General features: G+C 43.0%; 1 protein-coding gene and 1 pseudogene across 1 annotated transcript in view; both read right to left on the bottom strand.

Annotated features, from left to right (window-relative positions):
• The window catches only part of ZMYM1 (zinc finger MYM-type containing 1), a 59,033-nt gene extending 50,681 nt beyond the window's left edge, over positions 1–8,352 (bottom strand). Inside the window, exon 1 of the mRNA NM_001289088.2 lies at positions 8,213–8,352. The gene's annotated coding sequence lies outside the window, so the exon portion shown is untranslated. The remainder of the gene's footprint in view (positions 1–8,212) is intronic.
• On the bottom strand, positions 8,870–14,667 carry RPL12P45 (ribosomal protein L12 pseudogene 45; annotated as a pseudogene).

Below are 20,587 nucleotides of genomic sequence, written 5' to 3'. Positions count from 1 at the left end.
CAACACAATTTCTTGATTACAGTAGTTATACAGTAAGTCTTAAAAATTTTAGGCTGAGTGCTGTGGCTCACGCCTGTAATCCCAGCACTTTGGGAGGCCAAGCAGGGAGGATCACTTGAGACCATGAGTCCAAGACCAGCCTAGCAAAATAGCGAGACCCTGTCTCTACAATTTAAAAAATTTTTTCATTTTTCCATAGGTTATCGGGGGTACAGGTGGTGTTTGGTTACATGAATAAGGTTTTTTGTTTTTTTGTTTTTTTTGGACAGAACTTTGCTCTTGTCGCCTAGACTGGAGTGCAATGGTGCAACCTCAGCTCACTGCAACCTCCGCCTTCCGGATCCAAGTTACTCTCCCTCCCTAGCCTCCCAAGCAGCCGGGACCACAGGCGCGCACCACCATGCCTGGCTAATTTCTGCATCCCTAGCAGAAATGGGGTTTCACCATATTGGCCAGGCTGCTCTCGAATTCCCGACTTCAGGTGATCCACCCACCTCGGCCTCCCAAAATGCCAGGACCACAGGAGTGAGCCACTGCACCCGGCCATGAGTAAGTTCTTTAGTGGTGATTTGTGAGATTTTGGTGAACCCATCACCTGAGCAGTATACACTGCAACCCTATTTGTAGTCTTTTATCCCTCACCCCCACTGCCAACCTTCCCCTCTACAAAATTAAAAAAAAAATTAGCCAGGCATGGTGGTGCATGCCTGTAGTCCCAGCTACTTGGGAGGCTGCAGTGGAAGGATTGCTTGAGCACAGGAGTTAGAGGTTGCAGTGAGCTGTGATCACACCACTGCATTCCAGCCTGGGCAACAGAAGGAGACCTTGAGCTTTATTTTTATTTAAATAAAAATATTTAGGCTGAGCACGGTGGCTCATGCCTGTAATTCCAGCACTTTGAGAGGCCAAGGTGGACAGATCACTTGAGGTCAGGAGTTCAAGACCAACCTGGTCAACATGGTGAAATCCCATCTCTACTAAAAATACAAAAATTAGCCAGGCGTAGTGGCGTGTGCCTGTAATCCCAGCTACTCAGGAGGCTGAGGCAAGAGAATCACCTGAACCCGGGAGGCAGAGGTTGCAGTGAGCCGAGATTGCACCACTGCACTCCAGCATGGGTGACAGAGTGAGCCCCTGTCTCAAAATAATTAAATAAGTAAATAAAAATATTTAAATACTTTGATCTTTTTCAAAATTGTTTTGACTATTTTAGTTCCCTTGATTTTACATAACATTTTAGAATCAGCTTGTCTATATTTACAAAAAAATTCTGCTGAGATTTTTTTTTGAGATGGGGTCTTGCTATGTTGCCCAGGCTGGCCTTGAACTCCTGGGCTCCAGTGATCCTCCTACCTTAGCTTCCTCAGTAGTTGGAACTATAGGTGCAACAGGTGCAATTACCACCTTTGCTGAGATTTTGATTGTGTGAAATTTATGGATCAATTTGGGAAGAATCAGTGTCTTTACTACATTAAGTCTTTCAATCACGAACACCTATAGCTCACCATTTATTTAAATCTTCTTTTAATTTCTTTCATTATTCCTTTCAGCATACAACACAGAACATGTTTTATTAGATTTATATCTAATTATTTCATATTTTGAGCTATTGTGAATGCCATTTAAAAATTTTTATTTTTGGCCAGGTGCAGTGGCTCATGCCTGTAATCCCAGCACTTTGGGACGCCCAAGCAGGTGGATCACCTGAGATCAGGAGTTCAGGACCAGCCTGGCCAACATGGTGAAACCCCATCTCTACTAAAAATGCAAAAATTAGCTGGGCGTGGTGGCGTGTGCCTGTAATCCCAGCTACTTGGGAGGCTGAGGCAGGAGAATTGCTTGAACCCAGGAGTTGGAGGTTGCAGTGAGCCGAGATCAGGCCACTGCACTCCAGCCTGGGCAACAAGAGAGAGACTCCGTCTCAAAAAACCAAAAAATTATTTTCTAATTGTTCATTGCCAGTATATAAAAATACAATTGGTTTTTGTGTGTTAACCTTGCAACCTTACTAAACATATTTATTAGTTGTAGGAGGTTTTTTTTATAGATTCCTTGTGAAATCATCTGGGCCTGGAAATTTCTATTTTAGAAAATGTTAAACTACGAATTCAATTTATTTAATTTGTATAGAACAGCTTATCTGGTTTATCTTGGATGGGTTTTGCTAGTTTTTGTTTTCTGAACTCTTGGTCCATTTCACCTAAATTGTTGAATTTTTATGGGTAGAGTTGTTAGTGGTATTTTTGTCCTTTTAATGTTTGTGTGCCCTGTAGCAATATCCCCTCTTTCATTCCTGATATTAATAAGTTGTGGTTACTCTAATTTTTCTTTATCAGTCTTGCTAGAGGTTTATCCATCTTACTGATCTTTCCAAAGAGCCAAGTTTTGGTTTTATCAGTTTTCCCTATTTTAATTTCATTGATTTCTGCTCTTTATTTCCTTCCTTCTGCTTGCTTTGGAATTATTTTCCTTTTTTTTTTCTAACTTCTTAAGATGGAAGCTTAGATTATTTATTTGAGATCATTCTTCTTTTCTAACGAATTAATGCCATAAATTTCCCTTTAAATACAGTTGACTCTTGGCCAACCACCCTGCACAGCCGAAGATTCATGTGTAACTTTTGAATCCCCCAAAACCTAATTACTAACAGCCTACTGTTGACCAGAAGCCTTACCAATAACATAAACGTCAATTAACTATATTTTCTGTATGTATTATATACTATATTCTTACAATAAAGTAAGCTAGAGAAAAGAAGATGGTATTAAAAAAATCAAAAGGAAGGGAATATATATTTATTATTCATTATGTGTAAATGGGTCATAAAAGTCATTTTTTTTTTTTGGTGCCGAAAGCCGGGAATGAACCAGTCATAAATGTCTTCATCCTCCTCATCTTCAGGCAGAGTAGGTTGTGGAGGAGGAGGAAGGGAAGACAATGGTCTAGCTATCTCAGGGGTGGCAGCGGGGAGAAAACCTACATATAAAAGTGGACCCATGCAGTTCAAACTCATATTGTTGAAGGGTCAATTGTACTGCTTTAGTTGTATCCCACAAATTTCGATAAATTGTATTTTTTTGTTCAATTAAAATATTCTAATTTTATTTGAGTCTTCTTTAATCCATGGTCAGTGTGTTTAGAAGTTTTAGAAATACGTTGTTTAGGCCGGGCGCAGTGGCTCACGCTTGTAAGCCCAGCACTTTGGGAGGCCGAGGCAGGCGGATCACGAGGTCAGGAGATAGAGACCACGGTGAAACCCTGCCTCTACTAAAAATACAAAAAATTAGCCGGGTGTGGTGGCGGGCGCCTGTAGTCCCAGCTACTCGGAGAGGCTGAGGCAGGAGAATGGCGTGAACCCGGGAGGTGGAGCTTGCAGTGAGCCGAGATCACGCCACTGCACTCCAGCCTGGGCGACAGAGACCCTGTCTCAAAAAAAAAAAAAAAAAAAAAAGAAATATATTGTTTAATTTCCATATGTTTGGAGATTTCCTGTTATCTTTCTGTTATTGATTTCTCATTTAATTTCTTTATGACCAGGGAAAATGTTTATTATCTTAATTATTTTAAATTTGTTATGGTTTTATAACCCAGGATATTGTCTATTTCGGTAAATGTTCCTCATGTACTTGAAAGAATGTATGTTCTACTGTTGTTGGGTGGAGTGTCCTATAAATGTAAATTAGATCCAATTGTTTGATGTTATTCAATTTTTCTATTTCCTTGCTCATTTTCTGTCTACTGTTTCTATCAACTACTTTGAGAGGAGTGTTGAAGTTTCCAACTATAATTGTGGATTTGTCTATTTCTCCTTTCAGTGTTTTTTGTTTTTTTTTTTTTTTTTTTTTGAGACAGGATCTCACCGTGTTTCCCAGGCTGGCCTTAAACTCCTGGGGTCAAGCAATTCTCCCGCCTCAGCCTCCTGAGTAGCTGGGATTACAGATGTGCACAATCACGCCCGGCTGATTTTTATATTTTTAGTAGAGATGGGGTTTCACCAGGTTGGTCAGGCTGGTCTTGAACTCCTGACCTCGTGATCCACCAGCCTCGGCCTCCCAAAGTGCTGGGATTACAGGCGTGAGCCACTGTGCCCGGCTGAAACTTTCTTTTTTTAAATCCATGCAGATTACAGATGTACTGGATATCTATCATTTCGGGCTATCTAGCATCTATCTCTCCACCTATCTGTAAACACCTTGATCTCCCTTTTAGGGAAATTCTCCATTATCAGTGAGGGAAATTCTTCTGCCTTCTCTTTTAGTGCCACCTCTCACAGTGGAAGTAAAGACGGACAGATCCTTCCTATATTTCTTTCCTGATAGAACTAGTAGGTTAGCATGTGACCTAAACTTGTCCAATCAGGTGATCCTTCTCAGAACTTTGAATCTTGTTCACGTAATATTGTGATAGAGATCGTCAAATGTTCAGCAAACCCTATTTCCTTATCTTTTTGGGCATACAGATGGACTACATTTTTTTGTTGTTGTTGTTAGCTGCGGCCTTATGTCTTGGGTTCCGGACGATAGAATTTAGATAGAAGCTAGGTTCAGTGGCTTGTGCCTGTAATCCCAGTTACTTAGGAGGCTGTGGTGGAAGGACTGCTTGAGGCCAGGAGTTCTAGAACCAGCCTGGGCAACATGGTGAGACCCCATCTCTAAAAAAAATTTAAAAATTCGCCATTGGTTTGTGCTTGTGGTCCCAGATACTCGGGAGGCTAAAGTGGGAGGATTGCTTGAACCCAGGAGTCTGAGGCTGTGGTGAGCCAGGATCATGCCACTGCACTCTAGCCTGGGTGACAGAGCAAGACCCTGTCTCTTAAAACAAAACAAAAGGAAACACAACAAAACTTAGCTGAATGTGGTGGCACATTCCTGTAGTCCCAGCTACTCTAGAGACTGAGGCTGAAGAACCACTGGAGCCCAGGAATCTGAGGCTGCAGTGAGTTATGATGGCACCACTGCACTCCAACCTGGGTGATAAAGTGAGGCCCTGTCTCTTAAAAAAAAAAAAAAAAGAAAAGGCTTGACCTATTAAAACCTCCCACATTTGATCTTTGCCCTCTCTTTTCCTCTCCAAGAGAAGACGGAAGGAGTCTGGGTCCCTGAGTCACTGCCTGGAGGAGAGCTGCCAAGAAAGCCACTAGACCAGAAGCACCCATGCTGGACTGTGGTGTGAGACAGAAATAAACTTCCGTTGTGTAAAACCTCTGTGATTTGGAAGGTTATTTTAGCATTTGTTCTTACCCAGATTAAAAGACAGAATGTTTGGCATAAGGTTTATTTTAGCATTAGCAGTGATGTGGATCAAGCTGTTCTTACTGACAGATCTTGGGAGGTCCCTGGTTCTGCCTATTGTCTAAACCTTTTATCTTAGCTTCTCATCGTTTTGTAAGCCATCAGTATCCTTATTACACATTTCCCCTTTTTGGCTTAAAGTAACCAGACCCGGTTTCTGTTGCTATAACCAATAATTTAGATGTATTTATTAGATAAGAATTTAAGGCTTTAAATGGCAAGTGATTTGCCCAAGGGCACAACTGGTTAAGTGGCAGATTTAGGATTACAAACCTGTGCCTGGTATCTCCTACTTCAGTGTACTTTCTACTGTACTACTGGGAATTCAAAGGGAGCCCAATAATTAACACTGCTCTTCCCCACTCACTTCTAAACCAATTGAGAAATAAGAGTCAATAGAAATGGCAAATAAAAGATAGTATCACCTTCATTACTGGAAAAAGCTAGGTTGGAGGGTAGAACCTCCTTACATGACAGGTCTGCTCCTGTGAGATTTAAGGCAGAAAAGAGCAAAGAATAACTAGTGTTCTCTGTTGACAACTTGCTTCTAAGTAGAAAGAAAAGAGGAAGAGGCTGGACTGCACACAATGAGTTTCTTCTTCCAAAGTTTCCATTTAGAGAAGTCACTACCTCAACTGGGTAAGAATGAGAGGGTGGACAGGAGTCAGGACTAGAATGCGAATAATTGACGCTTTACATAAAAAAAATGGGAAATAAGGCTGGGCGCAGTGGCTCACGCCTGTAATCCCAGCACTTTGGGAGGCCGAGATGGGCAGATCACGAGGTCAAGAGTTCGAGGCCAGCTTGGCCAACATGGTGAAACCCCATCTCTATTAAAAATACAAAAAAATTAGCCAGGCATGGTGACGCGTGCTTGTAGTCCCAGCTACTTGGGAGGCTAAGGCAGGAGGATCACTTGAACCTGGGAGGTGGAGGTTGCAGTGAGCTGAGATCATGCCACTGCACTCCAGCCTGGGTGACAGAGTGAGACTCCATCTCAAATAAATAAATAAATAAATAAATAAAAATAAAAGGGAAATAAGATGTCTATATTTCTTTTTTTCTTTTTTTGACACGGAGTCTTGCTCTGTCACCCAGGCTGGAGTGCAGTGGTGTGATCTCGGCTCACTGCAAGCTCTGCCTCCTGGGTTCACGCCATTCTCCTGCCTCAGCCTCCCAAGTAGCTGGGACTACAGGCGCCTGCCACCATGCCCGGCTAATTTTTTGTTTTTTTACTAGAGACGGGGTTTCACCATGTTAGCCAGGATGGTCTTGATCTCCTGACCTTGTGATCTGCCTGCCTCGGCCTTCCAAAGTGCTAGGATTACAGGCGTGAGCCACCGCACCCAGCCAAGATGTCTATATTTCTATCTATCTATGTATCTATCTATCTATATCTATCTATCTTGATTGACAGATAATGTTTTGGCTGCTAGAAATACTTCATTTCTGATGATACATGATTGGGTTAAACATTGAAACAAAATCCCCTAATATTCTCCCCATCACATTTAAATGTTATTAACAGTTTAGTAGTATGTGTCCTTCTTTATGAACATGCTGAAGTTGAGTTATGGTGAGGATTAAAAGATTAATCTGTGTGAAGCACCCAGCGTGGTGCCTGGTACAGGAGGAACTCACTTGCTTCCTTTCTTCCTTTCTAGTGTCCCAGAGCCTTCTGTAGTCTAAGAATCCATGACTAGTGTTAGACTAGGCTGATGTGACCATAGAATCCAAGGTGTGTCCTGGCTTTTGGGGGTGCTGACAGACTTAGGCCTGGCAGGACTGCCAGAGAACAGTAGTTAGGGGCTCAAGGCCATGGCAGGTGTCCATTGGGGAGGAGCTGTTCAGCCTAGCCAGGCTCATGGCCTTTCCTACCCTGTTCCAGGTGGGCCCAGAGCTTGGGACTGCCTCCTGGGTTAGCATACTGTCCTGTGAGCTCTCTGTGTGAGCTAGGACAGGAGTTTCAAGCACCAGGGCCAGTCTCCTTCTGGGCCTCTCTCATAGGACAGTCAGGCATAGGGCTGGGCCCTAGGAGGTCCCACAAAGGCTGGCTGGTTGGCTGACTTCTGGGTTAATGTGGTGCCACCTCAGCTCTGCCTGAAACTCTGCCTGATCTTGCTCCAGCCTCAGGGATGTCCAAGCCCCTGCCCTCCTTTGTAGATTTCTGGACTTAGCAGGAGAAAAGAAATGTGGGAGCTGAGGACACAGCAGGAGAGGAGGGGCGAAGGAGGCAGCACAGACTGAGAGCTACCTCTGCCTGCCTTTGCCCTCTGACTTAGTTCAGAGGTCTTCCTTCCTCCAGGAATTCCTCCTGGAAGCCACCTCTCTTTCCCCTAGGCCAAGTTAATCAATCCCTCCTCTATTCTTGTTAATAGATTTTTTCCAGCCGGGCGCGGTGGCTCACGCCTGTAATCCCAGCACTTTGGGAGGCCGAGGGGGGTCGATCACCAGAGGTCGGGAGTTCGAGACCAGCCTGACCAACATGGAGAAACCCCGTCTCTACTAAAAATAGAAAATTAGCTGGGCATGGTGGTGCATGCCTATAATCCCAGCTACTTGGGAGGCTGAGGCAGGAGAACTGGGGAGACAGAGGTTGCAGTGAGCCGAGATTGCGCTATTGCATTCTAGCCTGGGCAACAAGAGCGAAACTCTGTCTCAAAATAATAATAATAATAATAATAATAATAATAATAATAATAACAACAAATAGTATTTCCCCCATGTTTGTCTCTCTACTAGGGTGTAAACTTTAAAGGCCAACATTTATTTCATCCATCTATATGTATCTAGTGCTCAGCACTGGCTCTGGCTCAATGATACTCAATGACTTGAGACTCAGTGATCTAGAAAAGGAAAGGTGGCACCCTAGAGATGAATTATATAAGTAAGGGTGAGGGCAAGAGAGAGAAACGAAATACCTTTTTGTGGCTGGACTGGGTTTTGTAATCAGAACCTCTCTGACAGCCAAGTTGTTCACTGTGGAAGGAGCTGCAAGGAAGAAGTCAACTTCCTGTCTTGAAAACTGCAAAGAGAGGCTGGAGACTCCTATAAGAATGCTGCCGTGGGGATTCAAGTACGACACAAACCTGAGATCATGTAACCACCAAGGTGCATTGCAACTCTGAATACACTAGTCTGAATACAAGACTAGTCCCAGAGATGCAAAGACTCAGAAGATTATGTATCTGTTTTGTCAAGGTTAAGGTTGCTGGGAGGACACTCAGGATAATGTCACAGGCTAATCAGCCTCTACTCCTTCTATCCCTTGCATGCAAATACATATTCACAACAATTTAAATAACAAAAAAACTGGCTGGGTATAGTGGCTCATGCTTATAATTCCGGTACTTTGGGAGGCCAAGGTGTGAGGATTGCTTGAGGCCAGGAGTTCAAGACCAGCCTGGGCAACATAGTAGGACTCTAAAGTCTCTAAAGTCTTTAAGTCTCTAAAAAAAAAAAAAAAAAAAAAAAGTCACATAAAACTTACATAATCACCTGCCTGTATATACATGTTGCAATAAATTTTTTTGGGCTGTCAAATTATCTTTTATTGAACATCTTTTTTGTGCATTTTAACTAGTGGAACATTCTGCTGCACCATTGTTGATGTCATCTATGATGTCATGAGGGCGGGTGACAATCAACATTGCAGCCCACAGCCTGGGCAATCCCCAAGATCTCTTTAATGGTTCTGGCCAAAGACTGGTGCCACACCTGTTGGGCAATGTTGATTATCTCATCAAAAGTGACATTTCCACTGTGTTTAATATTTTTGTTTCTATCTCTTGGAGGTTCCTTGAGGGCTTAAAGGATCAGTGTTACTGGTGGCAGGTATCCGAGTTATGCCAGCAGCAAATCCGTACAGGTCTGCAGCAACTTCAGTCCTTGCCTCCTCAGAAGAAAGAATTCAACTGAGGGGCATAAGGCAGAAGGAGAGACCGAGACAAGGTTTCAGAGCAGGAGTGAAACTTTCTTAAAAAGCTTTGGAACAGCAAGGAAAGGAAGAAAAGTGTTATAAAGTTTTGGTGCTGCAAAAGAAATAGCACTCGAATATAAAAATTTCTTTTTAATTCTCAGCAAGTCAAGGGTGTGCCCTTACAGATGGAACAATGGTGAGCGCACACCTGGACAAGGGAGCGGAAGGGGTTCTTATCCCTGACACATGTGGCCCCTGCTGCTGTGTTGTTCCCCTATTGGCTAGGGTTAGACTGCACAGGCTAAACTAATTCCGATTGGCTAATTTAAAGAGAATGACAGGGTGAGTGCTTTGGTAGGAGTCAGGGCAGAGCAGGTAGCAGGTAATCAGTGCGGGTGGAGCAGGTGATTGGAATGCACGGTGGAGCAGGTGATTGGAATGAGTCAGGGTGGAGCAGGTAATCGGAAAAGGTTGCTTTACAAGGAAGTTAAGTTTAAAAGTAGAAGGCAGGGGGGTGGCACCAAAATGGCCAAATAGGAACAGCTCCAGTCTGTGGCTCCCAGAGTGAACGACGCAGAAGATGGGTGATTTCTGCATTTCTAACTGAGGTACCGGGTTCATCTCAGTGGGGCTTGCCAGACAAGTAGGTGCAGCCCACGGAGCAGGGCAGGGCATCGACTCACCCGGGAAGCACAAGGGGTCGGGGAATTCCCTTTCCTAACAAAGGGAAGCCATGAAAGACGTCACCTGGAAAATCGGGACACTCCCACCCTGATACTGCACTTTTCCAACGGCCTTAGCAAATGGCACACCAGGAGATTATATCCTGCACATGGCTCGGAGGGTCACATTTAAAGCAGTGTGTAGAGGGAAATTTATAGCACTAAATGCCCACAAGAGAAAGCAGGAGAGATCTAAAATTGACACCCTAACATCACAATTAAGAGAACTACAGACACAAGAGCAAACACATTCAAAACCTAGCAGAAGGCAAGAAATAACTAAGATCAGAGCAGAAATGAAGGAGATAGAGACACAAAAAACCCTTCAAAAAATCAATGAATCCAGGAGCTGGTTTTTTGAAAAGATCAACTATCCTAAATATATATGCACCCAATACAGGAGCACCCAGATTCATAAAGCAAGTCCTTACAAAGAGACTTAGACTCCCACACAATAATAATGGGAGACTTTAACACCCCACTGTCAACATTAGACAGATCAATGAGACAGAAAGTTAAGAAGGATATCCAGGAATTGAACTCAGCTCTGCACCAAGTGGACCTAATAGGCATCTACAGAACTCTCCACCCCAAATCAACAGAATATACATTCTTCTCAGCACCACATTGCACTTATTCCAAAACTGACCACAAAGTTGGAAGTAAAGCACTCCTCAGCAAATGTAAAAGGACAGAAATTATAACAAACTGTCTCTCAGACCACAGGGCAATCAAACTAGAACTCAGGATTAAGAAACTCACTCAAAACTGCTCAACTACATGGAAACTGAACAACCTGCTCCTGAATGACTACTGGGTATGTAATGAAATGAAGGCAGAAATAAAGATGTTCTTTGAAACGAATGAGAACAAAGACACAACATACCAGAATCTCTGGGACACATTTAAAGCAGTGTGTAGAGGGAAATTTATAGCACTAAATGCCCACAAGAGAAAGCAGGAAAGATCTAAAATTGACACCCTAACATCACAATGAAAAGAACTAGAGAAGCAAGAGCAAACACATTCAAAAGCTAGCAGAAGGCAAGAAATAACAAAGATCAGAGCAGAAATGAAGGCGATAGAGACACAAAAAACCCTTCAAAAAATCAATGAATCCAGGAGCTGGTTTTTTGAAAAGATCAACAAATTGATAGACTGCTAGCAAGACTAATAAAGAAGAAAAGAGAGAAGAATCAAATAGACACAATAAAAAATGATAAAGGGGATATCACCACTGATCCCACAGAAATACAAATTACCATCAGAGAATACTATAAACACCTCTATGCAAATAAACTAGAAAATCTAGAATAAATGGATAAATTCCTGGACACATACAGCCTCCCAAGACTAAACCAGGAAGAAGTTGAATCCCTGAATAGACCAATAACAGGCTCTGAAATTGAGGCAATAATTAATAGCCTACCAACCAAAAAAAGTCTAGGACCAGACGGATTCACAGCTGAATTCTACCAGAGGTACAAAGAGGAGCTGGTTCCATTCCTTCTGAAACTATTCCAATCAATAGAAAAAGAGGGAATCCTCCCTAATTCATTTTATGAGGCCAACATCATCCTGATACCAAAGCCTGGCAGAGACACAACAAAAAAAGATAATTTTAGACCAATATCCCTGATGAACATTGATGCAAAAATCCTCAATAATATACTGGCAAACCGTATCCAGCAGCACATCATAAAGCTAATCCACCACAATCAAGTTGGCTTCATCCCTGGGATGCAAGGCTGGTTCAACATACACAAATCAATAAACGTAATCCATCATATAAACAGAACCAAAGACAAAAACCGCATGATTATCTCAATAGGTGCAGAAAAGGCCTTTGACAAAATTCAACAGCCCTTCATGCTAAAAACTCTCAATAAACTAGGTATCGATGGGATGTATCTCAAAATAATAAGAGCTATTTATGACAAACCCACAGCCAATATCATACTGAATGGGCAAAAATTGGAAGCATTCCCTTTGAAAACTGGCACAAGACAGGGATGCCCTCTCTCACCACTCCTATTCAACATAGTGTTGGAAGTTCTGGCCAGGGCAATCAGGCAGGAGAAAGAAATAAAGGGTATTCAATTAGGAAAAGAGGAAGTCAAATTGTCCCTGTTTGCAGATGACATGATTGTATATTTAGAAAACCCCATCGTCTCAGCCCAAAATCTCCTTAAGCTGATAAGCAACTTCAGCAGTCTCAGGATACAAAATCAATGTGCAAAAATCACAAGCATTCCTATACACCAATAACAGACAAACAGAGAGCCAAATCATGAATGAACTCCCATTCACAATTGCTTCAAAGAGAATAAAATACCTAGGAATCCAACTTACAATGGATGTGAAGGACCTCTTTAAGGAGAACTACAAACCACTGCTCAGCGAAATAAAAGAGGACACAAACAAATGGAAGAACATTCCATGCTCATGGATAGGAAGAATCAATATCATGAAAATGGCCATACTGCTTAAGGTAATTTATAGATTCAATGCCGTCCCCATCAAGCTACCAATGACTTTCTTCACAGAATTGGAAAAAACTACTTTAAAGTTCATATGGAACCAAAAAAGAGCCCACATGGCCAAGTCAATCCTAAGCCAAAAGAACAAGGCTGGAGACATCACGCTACCTGACTTCAAAATAAACTACAAGGCTACAGTAACCAAAACAGCATGGTACCGGTACCAAAACAGAGATATAGACCAATGGAACAGAATAGAGCCCTCGGAAATAATACCACACATCTACAACCACCTGATCTTTGACAAACCTGAGAAAAACAAGCAATGGGGAAAGTATTCCCTATTTAATAAATGGTGCTGGGAAAACTGGCTAGCCATATGTAGAAAGCTGAAACTGGATCCCTTCCTTACACCTTATACAAAAATCAATTCAAGATGGATTAAAGACTTAAATGTTAGACTAAAGCCATAAAAACCCTAGAAGAAAACCTAGGCAATATCACTCAGGCCATAGGCATGGGCAAGGACTTCATGACTAAAACACCAAAAGCAATGGCAACAAAAGCCAAAATTGACAAATGGGATCTAATTAAACTAAAGAGCTTCTGCACAGCAAAAGAAACTACCGTCAGAGTGAACAGGCAACCTACAGAATGGGAGAAAATTTTTACAATCTACCCATCTGACAAAGGGCTAATCTCCAGAATCTACAAAGAACTTAAACAAATTTACAAGAAAAAATCAACCCCATCAAAAAGTGGGGGAAGGATATGAACAGACACTTCTCAAAAGAAGACATTTATGCAGCCAACAGACACATGAAAAAATGCTTATCATCACTGGGCATCAGAGAAATGCAAATCAAAACCACAACGAGATACCATCTCACACCAGTTAGAATGGCGATCATTAAAAAGTCAGGAAACAACAGGTGCTGGAGAGGATGTGGAGAAATAGGAATGCTTTTACACTGTTGGTGGGACTGTAAACTAGTTCAACCATTGTGGAAGACAGTGTGGCGATTCCTCAAGGATCTAGAACTAGAAATACCATTTGACCCAGCCATCCCATTACTGGGCATATACCCAAAGGATTATAAATCATGCTGCTATAAAGACACATGCACACGTATGTTTATTGTGGCACTATTCGCAATAGCAGACTTGGAACCAACCCAAATGTCCATCAATAATAGACTGGATTAAGAAAACGTGTCACATATACACCATGGAATACTACACAGCCATAAAAAAGGATGAGTTCATGTCCTTTATAGGGACATGGATGAAGCTGGAAACCATCATTCTGAGCAAACTATCTCAAGGACAGAAAACCAAACACTGCATGTTCTCACTCATAGGTGGGAATTGAACAATAAGAATACATGGACACAAGGTGGGGAACATCACACACTGGGGCCTGCTGGGGGATGGGGGGAGGGGAGAGGGATAGCATTAGGAGATATACCTAATGTAAATGATGAGTTAACGGGTGCAGCACATCAACATGGCACATGTATACATACGTAACAAACCTGCACGTTGTGCACATGTGCCCTAGAACTTAAAGTAAAATAAATAAACAAATAAAAAGAAAAAAAGTAGAAGGCAAAGAATTGAACATACTGACATATTAATTCTTTGAAAAGAAATTTAGAACTCACATCTAACAAAAGGAAAGAAAAGAAGGAAAGTACAACTTGGAATAGGGCAAACGGGCGACTTGAGAAATCAAGTGTGCAGCTTGACTTCTTGACTTGGGGTTTTATACATTGGCATACTTCTGGGATCGTGCCTTACTTCTCCCCACCCCTGAGATCTTATTGGGAAGCTGATGATCAATTTTCAGGCGTTTTCTATCTATTAGGAGACTGCCTTTCCCCGGCGCTGGCTGTGACCAATTATTTAGAGAAACAGTTAACAGCTGCCTGACCATCACCTGATGGTTGCCTGGCACTCCTGGTGTGTGTGTGAGCCCTTTCTTGCTCTGCTCATACCAGGCTAGCTACCTACTGTAACATCAGGACAGAGGCAAAAGGTCCCAGTTCAACCTGAGTCTGTCTATTCTGAAGGGTCAATGTCACTGTAATCCTGAAACCCTTCTAGTCACCCATTAACTTGGTGATGTCATTGCCAGCCATTTTTGGAGATGGACTCAGGGGCTTGATCTTAGGAGCCGGGGCAGAAATGGCACTGACTTCCCCATCGGTACACCTAAGGTTTGCAACATTAATCTTGTTGGGGTTGAACTTAGGCAGTACGGTGGAGGTGGCTGGTGTCAGATGTACCCAGATGTGAGATGACGGAAGAAAGTTGCACCTTAGGCCAGGCATGGTGGCTCATGCCTGTAATCTCATCACTTTAGGAGGCTGAGGTGGGTGGATCAGAAGGTCAGGAGTTCAAGACCAGCCTCACTAACATGGTGAAGCCCTGTCTCTACTAAAAATACAAAAAATTAGCCAGGCGTGGTGGCACACACCTGTAAGCCCATCTACTCAGGAGGTAGAGGGAGGAGAATCGCTTGAACTCAGGAAGCGGAGGTTGCAGTGAGCCAAGATTGTGCCACTGCACTCCAGCCTGGGCAATAGAGTGAGACTCCATCTCAAAAAAAAAAAAAAAAAAAAAAAAAAGCAAGTTGCACCTTGGCCTCCTCTGAGCAGAAAACCAAAAGGCTTGAATGTCTTCACAGGCAAACATGTTAAAACCTATACTCAACACTAAACAAACACTCACTTGTCTACATTGATACACACCCCCTCACCCTAACTAAAACTTCATCCATTGTTTCTAGACCTAGAGAGCCATGGAGTTTCTTCCTCTTGGAATTGGCTAGGTAGCCCTGAGAAAGGAACAAGAGGAGAAGGCATGGCCTGCCTGTGATGGATAGGATTAATCTTCTAAGATGAAGAAACAAAATAATTAAATTCTTAATCACCCCTAAGCCAGCACGGCTGATATAGCTGAGGGAGGGAGGGGGCTCTGAGGCCCAGACCAATATCCTAGAAATGGAGAGGGACTTAGGAAGAGTGGCACAGACAGAACCTTTTAGGCCAGAAGGAAAACCAGTAGGCAGGTAGGCAGGAAGGCAGATACACCTCGCTAGCGCCACAGAATCTTTCTTTCCAAGAGGAAATGGAGAAGCCCTGGAAAGAAAGCCTCCCATCATCCACTAAAACAGGGTGTTAGGAGGGTCTGGGCCCTCTTCAGCCCTCCCCAGAGCCCTTCCTGCCCCTCCATGGGAAGCATCCTGGGAGTGTATAGGAATAGTAGAAATAGTATACAGGACTCACAAATTGCCTGGAACCTTGAGTTTCATCAGGCATAGGGTCAACATTCCTCCTGGGATCCCCAGCTCTCAGTAGTGACAGGCCTATTTTCTGGTTTGGCAGAATGGCAGGAGATGATGTCTTCTACACAGATTCTTTGGCTCCCTTCAGAAAGTAAAATAGGCTGGGTGTGATGGTTCACATCTGTAATCCCAGCACTTTAGGTGACTGAAGCAGGAGGACTGTTTGAGCCCAGGAGTTCAAGACCAGCCTAGGTAGCACAGTGAGACCCTACAAAAAATAAAAATCAGCTGGATATGGTGGCACACGCCTGTGGTCCCAGATATTTGGGAGGCTGAGGTGGGAGGATCATTTGAGCCAGGAATGTTGAGGATGCAGTGAGCTGTGATAGCACCACTGCACTCCAGCTTGAATGACAGAGTGGGACTTTGTTTCAAAACAAACAAACAAACAAACAAAAAAACAAAAGAAAAACAAAAAGTAAAATAAAAATAGTGATAAGTATTTGATAGTAGAATTGACAAGAACTAAATTCTGATTTAAAATGTCTTCCTGGCTGGGTGAGGTGGCTCGCGGCTGTAATCCCAGCACTTTGGGAGGCCAAGGGCAAGTGGATCACCTGAGGTCAGGAGTTCCAGACCAGCCTGGCCAACATGATGAAACCCAGTCTCTACTAAAAATACAAAAAGTAGCCAGGCATGGTGGCACGCGTCTGTAGTCCCAGCTACTAGGGAGGCTGAGGCAAAAGAATCACTTGAACTCAGGAAATGGAGGCTGCAGTGAGCTGAGATTACGCCACTCCAGCCTGGACGACAGAGCGAGACTCCATCTAAGAAAAAAACAAAACAAAAACAAAATGTCTTCCTCCTGAAACCTGAGTAAAATGACATTAAAGGAATTTTTTTTTAAAGCTACAGAAGGGCAAGAAGAATGGGAAAGGAGATACCAAAGAATGAAAGAGTTCAACACATTTTTGAAGACCGAAAACTTACAGAAGGTGAAAACTACTATGTACCTGCAGAGGTAGGTACCTTAGAAGGAAGTCAATCCATTCCACAGAACTCCAGAAAGGCTCAAGGTGCAGAGGCATTTGGCGTCTCAGAGGGTGAGTGGTGACATCGGGATGAAAACATAGGAATTGGTAGAAACTCTAAATGTGGATCAGCTAGATCCCCTAGTAATCTCTCCAGCATCCATTACAGCCAGACAACAACCTAGACCAGACTCTTTCATTTTGGAGAAACAACCAGAGAGACTTCATGTTTGGGGATATCTGGCACGATGGAGAGTAGAGACAATGAAAATGGGGGGAATAGGGAATGAAAAGAGTGGAAGTCTACAGAGTGATAGGGCTTGCAGCCCTCTTCCTCCATGTTGTTCTCAGATCCGTGGTCATAAGGCAAGAACTTGAAGGATTTTTCTTTGGAGAAACCGAATGACTCTAGAGTAAAGATCTTTAGATGGGCCATTTGGTGATCCCTCAATGAAAAAGCCAGTGGAGCCCACTTCTCCATGTGCTTTACTAAAAAATGAGTAAAGCAGCAGGGATCATAGACATTTAAGGAAACTTTAAAGGTGAAAGAGAGACTACAATTATTAATAAGAAGCAGGAAAAAGAAACCTGGAGTAAGTAAGGACAATACAAGAAACAGAAAATTATTTAAGAAAATTACTTAAGCCAGGCGCAGTGGCTCATGTCTGTAATCCTAGCACTTTGGGAGGCTGAGGCAGGCGGATCACAAGGTCAGGAGATCGAGACCATCCTGGCTAACACAGTGAAACCCCGTCTCTACTAAAAATACAAAAAAAATCAGCCAGGCGTGGTGGCAGGCACCAGCTGTCCCAGCTACTCGGGAGGCTGAGACAGGAGAATGGTGTGAATCCGGGAGCAGAGGTTGCAGTGAGCCAAGATCGTGCCACTGCACTCCAGCCTGGGAGACAGAGGACAGAGTGAGACTCCGTCTCAAAAAAAAAAAAAAAAAAAGAAAATTACTTAAAAAGCTCACCAACATTAGTTAATATACCTGAAGAGTTACTATACTTTTCATATGGATAAAACAAGAAGCAATTCTATGAAAAAAAAAAAAAAAACAAAACCAGAATTAGGGAGTAAGAAAGAGCTCTTGGAAATTAAAAATACAGTAGTTAATATTAGAAATTTAATAGAATAGGCTGGTTGCAGTGGCTCACACTTGTAATCCTAGCACTTTGGGAGGCAGAGGTCAGGGGATTGCCCAGCCAACTTTTGTGCTTTAATAAAGGACACCATTAAGAAAGCGAAAAGACAACCCAAAGAATGGGATAAAAGTTTTGCAAATTCTATATCTGATATGGGACTTGTATATAGAATATACAAAGAACTCTTACATCTCCGCTGGGCGCGGTGGCTCACGCCTGTAATCTCAGCACTTTGGGAGGCCAAGGTGGGAGGATCACTTGAGGTCATGAGTTTGTGACCAGCCTGGTCAACATGATGAAACCCGTCTCCACGAAATATACAAAAATTAGCCAGGCATGGTGGCATGTCCCTGTAATCCCAGCTACTTGGGAGGCTGAGGCAAGAGAATGGCTTGAACCCAGGAGGCGGAGGTTGCAGTGAGCCGAGATGGCATTATTGCACTCCAGCCTGGGTGACAGAGTGAGACTCCATCTCAAAAAAAAAAAAAAAAAAAAAAGAAGAAGTCTTACATCTCAATAATAAAAGGACAAATAAACCAATAAAAATGGACAAAGAATCTAAATAGACATTTCCTCAAAGAACATACACAGTTGGCCAATAAGCACATGAAAAGATGCTCAACATCGGCCAGGCGCAGTGGCTCACGCCTGTAATCCCAGCACTTTGGGAGGCCGAGGCGGGCGGATCAAGAGATCAGGAGATCGAGACCATCCTGGGCAACATGGTGAAACCCCGTCTCTACTAAAAACACAAAAAAATTAGCCGGGCGTTGTGGTGGGCGCCTGTAGTCCCAGCTACTCGGAAGGCTGAGGCAGGAGAATAGCGTGAAACCCGGGAGGCGGAGCTTGCAGCGAGCCGAGGTCCCGCCACTGCACTCCAGCCTGGGTGACAGAGCAAGACTCCGCCTCAAAAAAAAAAAGAAAAGAAAAGATGCTCAACGTCATTAGTCACAAAGAAATGCAAATCAAAACCACAGAGAGAGAGAGAGATACCTCTTTGTGCCAAGATAGCTATAATAAAAAACAGAGATAACAACAAATGTTTTTGAGGGCAAGGAGAAAATGGAACTCTCATACACTGCTAGAGGGAATGTCAAATGGGTGCATCCACTTTGGAAAACAGTATGGCAGTTTCTCAAATGGTTAAACATAGAGTTACCATATAACCCAGCAATGCCACTCGTGGGTATATAGCTAAGAGAAATGAAAACATGTCCACACAAAAGCTTGTACATGACTGTTCATAGCAGCATTTTTCATAATAGCCAGAAGGTAGACACAACCCAAATGTCCATCAATTGGTGAATGGATAAATAAAATGTGGTATATCCATACAAGGGATAAATAAAATATGGTAATCCATCCATATTATTTGGCAATAAAAAGAGGCTTGGCATGGTGGCTCATGCCTGTAATCCCAGCACTTTGGGAGGCTGAGGCTGGTGGATCACTGGAGGTCAGGAGTTCTGGACCACCCTGGCCACCATGGCGAAACTGCATCTCTACTAAAAATACAAAAATTAGTCGGGCATGGTGGCATGCTCCTGTAATCTCAGCAACTCTGGAGGCTGAGGCAGGAGAATCGCTTGAACCTGGGAGGCAGAGGTTGCAGTGAGCCAAGATTGCGCCACTGCACTCCAGCGTGGGTGACAGAGTGAGACTCCATCTCAAAAAAAAAAAAAAAAAAGGAAAAAAAGGAATAGTAATATTTGCTACAACATGGATGAACCTTGAAAGCATTATACTAAGTGAAAAAAGCTAGTCGCAAAGAACCACATATTGTATGAATCCACTCATACAAAATGTTCAGAACAAACAATTCCATTGAGACAGAAAGTGGATTGATAGTTGCCTAGGGGTCAGTGGGAAATGGGGAGTGACTGCTAATGGGCAGGGCTTTTTTGTTTTTTTTTTTGTTTTTTGAGATGGAGTCTTGCTCTCTTGCCAGGCTAGAGTGCAGTGGCGCGATCTCGGCTCACTGCAACCTCCACCTCCTGGGTTCAAGTGATTCTCCTGCCTCAGCCTCCCAAGTAGCTGGGACTACAGGCGCACGCCACCATGCCCAGCTAATTTTTGTATTTTTAGTAGAGACAGGGTTTCACCATGTTGGCCAGGATGGTCTCGATCTCTTGACCTCGTGATCCGCCCGCCTCGGCCTCCCAAAGTGCTGGGATTACACGCATGAGCCACCGTGCCTGGCCTTTTTTTGTTTTTTTTTTTTTTTTTTTAGCAATGAAAATGTTGTAATATCAATTGTGGTAATGGTTGCAGAATTCTGTGAATAAACAAAAATCCATTGAATTGTACCCTTTAAATGGGTGAATTGTATGGTATGTGAAATGTATCTCAAAAAAGCTGTTATAAACTTATTTTTCAAAGAAGAAAACCATTCCATGAGAGCCATTTACAGGACATGCTCAATTTAGAGGCAGGTAAAGCACCAGAGTACCAGAAGGGGAAGTCCCAGAGAGAGCCTCCTGAGACCCTTTCTGGCCAGCAGAGTTACAAAATAGAAGTTCCATTCCTAGAGGTCAGATAACAGAGGCAAGCTGGTGGTTTCTGAGTCACATAAGGACAATTTAATCCCACAAAGGAATTCTGGGACCCATGGGAGAAATTGTCTTCCTCCTCCTATAACCAGAGAAAAAGGAAATGCCAAGTGCAGAGAAGCCCAGCAGACAGAGTGAGTCAAGCCTTGACGTGAAGGAAG

Source organism: Homo sapiens, chromosome 1 (assembly GCF_000001405.40).
Source record: "Homo sapiens chromosome 1, GRCh38.p14 Primary Assembly".
Lineage (NCBI taxonomy): Eukaryota > Metazoa > Chordata > Mammalia > Primates > Hominidae > Homo > Homo sapiens.
This window is presented reverse-complemented; position numbering and strand designations above follow the sequence as displayed.